Raw genomic sequence first — 7,543 nt, forward strand, 5'->3', positions numbered from 1 at the left:
CCTGTAATCCCAGCACTTTGGGAGGGCAAGGCGGGTGGATCACGAGGTCAGGAGATCGAGACCATCCTGGCTAACACAGTGAAACCCCGTCTCTACTAAAAATACAAAAAATTAGCCGGGCGTGGTGGTGGGCGCCTGTAGTCCCAGCTACTGGGGAGGCTGAGGCAGGAGAATGGCATGAACCCGGGAGGCGGAGCTTGCAGTGAGCGGAGATGGCGCCACTGCACTCCAGCCTGGGTGACAGAGTGAGACTCAGTCTCAAAAAAAAGGAAAAAAGAAAAAAGAGAGTGAGGCTGGAATGCAGCTCACTGCAGACTCAACCTCCTGGTGCCAGACTAAATTTCTGTTCTTGTTGCTGAAACAAGGTCTCCCTCTGTCGCCCAGGCTGGAGTGCAGTGGTGCGATTTCAGCTCACTGCAGACTCGACCTCCCAGGCTCAAGCAACTCTGCCACCACGGTGGTGGCATGGGACTACAGATGCACATCACCACACCGGCTGATTTTTGTATTTTTTTTAGACACAGGATCTCGCCATGTTGCCCAGGCTGGTCTCAAACTGTTGAGCTCCAGTTATCCACCCACCTCAGTCTCCCAAATTGCTGAGATTACAGGCGTGAGCCACCATGCCTGGCCTATTTTTTCTTTAGGACTCTGGGAACGGTTATATTTAGCGTGTGTGTGTGTGTGTGTGTGTTTGGAGACAGAGTCTCGCTCTGTTGCCCAGGCTGGAGTGCAGTGGTACAGTCAAAGCTCACTGCAACCTCCACCTCCTGGGTTCAAGCAATTCTCATGTCTCGGCCTCCCGAGTAGCTAGGATTACAAGTGCCCACTACCATGCCCAGCTAATTTTTGTGTTTTTAGTAGAGACGGGGTTTCACCATTTGGCCAGGCTGGTCTTGAATTCCTGGCCTCATGTGATCCACCCACTTCAGCCTCCCAAAGAGCTGGGATTCCAGGCATGAGCCACCATGCCCAACCTAGCATCGGGTTTTAAATTTTACTTTTTCTCCTCTGTTATAAATTCCTCTGGCTGACCCCAGACATACAGCACATCTCTCATGCACGCTGGGCTTGTGTTCACGATGTGCATTGACACATTAGACTAACATCTCTGGTGTGTCTCCTGTGTCCCAGGCATTGTTCTGAGTATTTAGGAAACAGCAACGAACAGAAGAGATGAAACTCCTGCACTCATGGAGCTCACTTTCTAATGGGAAGTGAAAGAGTAGGATGAAGGGAACTGTGCCCTTCCTTACATCACCCCACACTTAAAATAGAACCTAAAACCACACACGGGGTTCTTCAAATACCAGGCACACTGCTGCCCCAGGGCCTTCTCTCTCTCCTAGAGCTTTGCATGGTCTAACCCTCTCCCCACTTCATTCTGGACACTGAGCAAATGTTATCCCATCAGAGAGGGCTTTCCTGAATGCCTTAGCTAGACCAGCACACACATGTATCTATCATGCCATGCCCCTAACTGGCTTTGTTTTCTTTATGGCCCTTTTCCCTAGACTAAAATGTTGTCTATTTCCTCTACTAGAATGTAGGCACCACGGAGGCAGGAATTTGGGTTTCTTTTCTCACTGCTGTCTCCCCAATCTAGGGACAACGCCTGGCACCCAGTAGGCACTCAAGAAGTATTTACTGAACGAATCAGTCACCCCTTCACTGATGTCAGTTTGGCAACAGTAGTACTGACAGAGGGGATCGTGGCTGGAGTTCCAGGCGGGGAACCACAGAGGCATACTTGAGGGGTAGGGGAAACGAAAAATTACCTGGAGGAGCAGCTGTCCTAAATATAGCAGCAGCAGATGACCCGTGACCAGGGTCACTGTCCGACCACACCAGATTCTGCAAGTTGGCAGGGTTTTCATTGTATATATGAAATATATATACAATTGTATATATATGAAATAAGATATATATACAATTGTATATATGAAATATATAAATTGTATATATGAAATATATAAATTGTATATATGAAATATATATACAATTGTATATATGAAATATATATACAATTGTATATATGAAATATATATACAATTGTATATATGAAATATATATACAATTGTATATATGAAATATATATACAATTGTATATATGAAATATATATACAATTGTATATATGAAATATATACAATTGTATATATGAAATATGTACAACTTCATATATATTTGTATATGTATTTGTATATGTATATGTATATGCATTTGTATATGTATATGTATATATATATTTTTATATATAATATATGTATATATATTTATATATAATATATGTATATATATATTTATATATATTTATATATAATATATGTATATATATATTTATATATATTATATATATATATAAAAAAGACAACTATGGAATAGAATTTCAGCATCTATGTTTTATTTTTATTTTTATTATATTTTATTTTTTGAGACAGAGTTGCATTCTTTTGGCCAGGCTGGAGTGGAGTGGCACGATGTCAGCTCACTGCAACCTCCGCCCCCAGTTCAAGTGATTCTCCTGCCCCAGCCTCCCGAGTAGCTGGGATTATAGGTGCCAACCACCACACCTGGCTAATTTTTGTATTTTTAGTAGAGACAGGGTTTTGCAATATTGGCCAGGTTGGTCTTGAACTCCTGACCTCAGGTGATCCACCCACCTCAGGTGATCCACCTGCCTCAGCCTTCCAAAGTGTTGAGATTACAGGCATGAGCTCCCACACCCAGCCTTGTTTTAACCTTCTTTTAGTCTCCGCCTTGACATAAGGCCAGGAGTGGTGGCTTCTAGTACTCTCTCCTTTTCCCTGTCATAGAGACTACGGATTCCTAAAAGTGGACAGCAGTGCCCTGCTGAACCCAGTTACTGGTTACTGGCTGCCCTCCAGACAGGGGCCAGATGAAAAATCAATGTGTGCCATTGTCAGAATATGTTTTAAAGAAATCTGACTTGAGGCATATTAAACAGTTGGACATAAAGGGGTAGTGTCTCATTATGAGCCATTAGGAATAGGCAAGAAAAAGCAAAACAGAAACTGCTCCACCTACCAGGTAGTGCTCCTGTTCATAGAACAAAGTGCTGCTCACCGAATAGTACAAAGTCATGCAACAACTGCATCCAGTACATAAATGCAGAAGCTTTTTAAATTTACACCTTGTATAATTTGTTAAGGTTACATTGCTGGGCTGGGCACCATGGCTCATGCCTGTAATCTCAGCACTTTGGGAGGCTGAGGTGGGTGGATCACTTGAGTCCAAGAATTCAAGACAGCCTGGCCAACATGGTGAAACCATGTCTCTACCAAAAAAATACAAAAATTAGCTGGGTGTGGTGGCAGGCGCCTGTAGTCCCAGCTACTTGGGAGGCTGAGGCAGGAGAATCACTTGAACCCAGGAGGCAGAGGTTGCTGTGAGCCGAGATCGCACCACTGCACTCCAGCCTGGGCGATTCTGTCTCAAACGAACAAACAAACAAAAAGATTACATTGCTGGCATACATTTCTTTTCTTTTTAGAGATTGGGTCTCACGATGTCGCCCTGGGCTGGACTCAAACTTGTGGTCTCAAAGCAGTCTTCCCACCTCAGCCTCCAAGTAGTCGGAACCAGGCCTAGCTTTGCTGGCAACTAATGATAGTTTGTACTTCCTAAATCATTAGTAAATTTCAATTTCTATTTTTAAAAATAATTATCCAAAAAGGAAACACAGCACAAATTGCCTTCAGCCTTGTACAAATAAAGAGATAATCAGTGAGTAGTTTATAAAGTGGGAATGATAAGTTTCTGAGCTTTTTTTTAAAAAAAGGAAGTCATTTCTGTTAAAGAAGAATTGATTTAGTTGGGCACTTTAAGAACTTAGTTTCTGTGCTTTATACAGGTGACACTAACTCTGCGCGCCATTTCAAGGGTTGTGCATCTGGTGGTACCAGTAACATCAAAGGGTGATTAATAATCCAATATTATTAATGAATACATGGATATTGGTATTAGAGGTCAAATACTATCTTTGTCTGTGAATTTTTTTATGTAGAGAAGGGTGATGTAAAATTACAAACTGAGTGGTTTTTTTTTTCATATGAACATTCCCCTATCCTCAAGAGTAGGACAATAGTAAATTCACAGAACAATTGTAAATTAACATAGGTGCTGGCCAATCTGAAACCAGTATATTAAGTGTTCAAGGGGAATCAGGCTGGGCTCAGTGGCTCATGCCTGTAATCCCAGCACTTTGGGAGGCCGAGGCAGGCGGATCCCGAGGTCAGGAGATCGAGACCATCCTGGCCAACATGGTGAAACCCCGTCTCTACTAAAAATACGAAAATTAGCTGGGTGTGGTGGCGTGTGCCTGTAGTCCCAGCTACACGGGAGGCTGAGGCAGAAGAATCACTTGAACCCAGGAGGCAGAGGTTGCAGTGAGCCGAGATTGCGCTATTGCACTCCAGCCTGAGTGACAAGAGTGAGACTCTGACTCAAAAAAAAGAAAAAAAAAAAAGTGTTCAAGGAGAATGAAGAGACTGAGGGAGTTGGGCAGATTTTATTTTTTCAAAGCTGGCCACAGCACTATTTGCCATCCTATGTTAACTTGCTAAAAAGCCCAATAGTTCTCACATTGTGTGCCCACAGAACACTGACTGACATTGCTTTTTAAGGGAATTAGCATTAATGTAGCACTTCCTATTTATTACTGTCTTTAAGCTGCCTAGACTATGATTATTATAACAACCACCACTAGCATTGAGCATTTACTGTGTCAACTGCTTACTGTGTCTCGTTTAGTTGTGTCATAACACTAAGATGTCATTACACTCATTCTGTTGGTGAGGAAATAGAGAAATACAGTAACTTGCCAAGGTCACAGAAATGGTGAAGCTGGGCTTTTCCTCACACACCACACTGCTTTGTCCCAATATTACAATGTTGATCTGTCTCCAATTCACAGGAAAATAATTTAAAATAGCCAATAGAATGCTCTTAAGTTGGAAACATTCTTCTATCCCTTTTTTTGACCTTTCGCATTTCTTTTTTTTTTTTTTTTTGACTCTGAGAGAGTATTTATCTATGCACCCTGGAAGCCAGCCTCTAAATTTAAATATCCAGCATGGGACCTTGGCCCTCCTGGCCGTGGGTGGGTGTAGGAATGGGTCCTAGAGCCCTTCCCTGAGAGTGGAACCCAGAGCCTGGAAGTGGGATGCCCCTGAGCCAGCAGCTGCCAATAGCCACAAAAGGGGAGAAGGAGATGGGAGCCAGACACTCATCCCAATCCCAGAGACTCCAAGGGGAAGGGAAGATGCTTTGGGCCTCACAGCCAGGCTGAGGGTTGGCCAAGCTGGAGGTACACATATGTGGAAGAAATGGAGGCCCAGTGCCATGGGCAGAGACTATACCCTAGGTGCCCGCCCCAGTGCCAGCCAACCCAAGACAGGAGAAAGGGGTTGGCAGTTTTGCATCTGAGAGATACAAGTGGTGCCTGGCCCTCCTGTGAGGTGAGGCAGTATGGGGAAAGGCACAAGCACTGCAGTCTAAGGGCTTATGGAAGGGGGAGTCTCTGAGCCTTTTGCATGGGTGCATGCCCACCCACCCCCAGCTCTTCAGAGGCTGATGTGGAAGGCATCCTGCAGCCACTGGTCACAAACACTGTGCATCTGGGGCACAGTGAGGAGTGGCGGGTCGGGGGGCAGGCTGGCATTGGGAGGCTCATCATCATCAGACAGGCCAGCATCAGGTGGGTAGGAACTGTCTAAATGCAGGGAGGATAGCAAGTCCTGGATGAGCTCATGACCTTTCACATTTCTAGAGAGCAAGTGCCAGCAGATGACAGAACGAATGAACAAGTAGCAAATATACATTCATGGAAAAGGTCAGAGCAGCTGGTTTTGCTTGATTCACTCATTTGATTGTGGGTGTGGATGTGGTGTGTGTGCTTTGGGGCAGGCAATGTGGCAGCTGCTCCTAGTTGTGAATATATTGCATGCCTATAACACTGTTTCCATGTTTGCTGAGTTGTTCTTTGTTTCTATGATGAAATTAAATATACCTTTTCATGGGACTAGACAAAGAGCATCAATCATTCTGTGGCAGCAGCTTTTCATGAATCCCCTAAAACTGTGCAAAGCTGCGTTCTATGTGTATGCATGTGTTGTTCCGGTGAGGGAGTTCTGAAGTCAATGCTATAGTTAGATTACCAAAGACGTCTGTGATTCCAGAAGGATTAAAAACCACTGACCATCTATCATTCTACCTATCTGCCATCTCTCCATCATGTTTATAACATCATTTATGCATGCATTTATCTATTTATCCACTAAGAGACATATTTCTTTCCAGATGGTAGCATTTGAGATGATTTATTTGTAATTTTCTGTCCTGCTTTACTCCTTCATAATGACCATTGTATTAGTCCGTTTTCACACTGCTATAAAGAGCTGCCCGAGAGTGGGTAATTAATAAAGGAAAGAGGTTTAATTGACTCACAGTTCAGCATGGCTGGGGAGGCCTCAGGAAAGTTACAATTATGCCAGAAGTCAAAGGGAAAGCAAGGCATCTTTTTCACAAGGCAGCAGGAAGGAGAGGTGCTGAGCCAAGCAGGAAGAGCCCTTTACAAAACCATCAGATCTTGTGAAAACTCACTCACTATCACGAGAACAGCATGGGGGAACCACTCCCATTATTTAGTTACCTCCACCTGCTCTCTCCCTTGACAAGCAGGGATTACGGGCATTACAACTCAAGATGAGATGTGGGTGGGGACACAAAGCCTACCCATATCAACCATGTATCATTCTTAGAAAAATAATGAAGTGATTAAGAGAAAAGGACAGCTGATCTGGGTGCCCCACCACGTGTCCAACTTATCTTTATACCTCCATTGATGGGAAACTCAACCAGCTCTCTAGGTGGCCTAGTCTGTCTGTTTACCTCAAAGTATTAACATTTCTTCCACATGCTGAATTCATGGCTAGGCAATGAACAAATCAATGAAGAAGGCTGGGCACGGTGGCTCACGCCTGTAATCTCAGCACTTTGGGAGGCCAAGGGGCAGATCACTTGAGGCCAGGAGTTCGAGACTAGCCTGACCAACATGGTGAAACCCCATCTCTATTAAAAATACAAAAAATAGCTGGGCGTGGTGGTACATGCCTGTAATCTCAGCTACTCAGGAGGCTGAGGTAGGAGAATCACTTGAGCCCAGGAGGCGGAGGTTGCAGTGAGCCAAAATCAGGCCACTGCACTCCAGCCTGGGTGATAGAGCTAGAGTCTCAGAAAATAAATAAATAAACAAACAAATCGATGAAGCTCCAGGGGGCAGATAAAACAGAAGTGAGTCTTGGGGTGGAAGACAGGGAGAGGCATCTGTGGCTGGATCCCTAGAAGCCATCTGAGAACACCTGCCTGCTTTGCCATCCCAGATCAGGGACAGGGTGCCAAGGACAGCAAACAGGGCTCAGCACAGCCTGGGCATGCAAATGGCTTGTCTGTGGTTCACGGAACAAGCTCAGGAAGCTGGCAGGGAGGAAGGGGATATAGTGAGGCAGAAAGGAGAAGAACAAA

General features: G+C 44.4%; 1 pseudogene across 1 annotated transcript; it reads right to left on the minus strand.

Moving 5' to 3' along the window:
• Window positions 1–5,045: 5,045 nt before the first annotated feature.
• On the minus strand, window positions 5,046–5,857 carry MTVR2 (mouse mammary tumor virus receptor homolog 2; annotated as a pseudogene). Its single transcript, NR_027025.1, has one exon. The product of NR_027025.1 is annotated as a mouse mammary tumor virus receptor homolog 2 (transcript).
• Between the last annotated feature and the right edge of the window lie 1,686 nt (window positions 5,858–7,543).

The sequence above is a fragment of the Homo sapiens genome, chromosome 17 (genome assembly GCF_000001405.40).
Source record: "Homo sapiens chromosome 17, GRCh38.p14 Primary Assembly".
In the NCBI taxonomy this organism is placed as follows: Eukaryota; Metazoa; Chordata; class Mammalia; order Primates; family Hominidae; genus Homo; species Homo sapiens.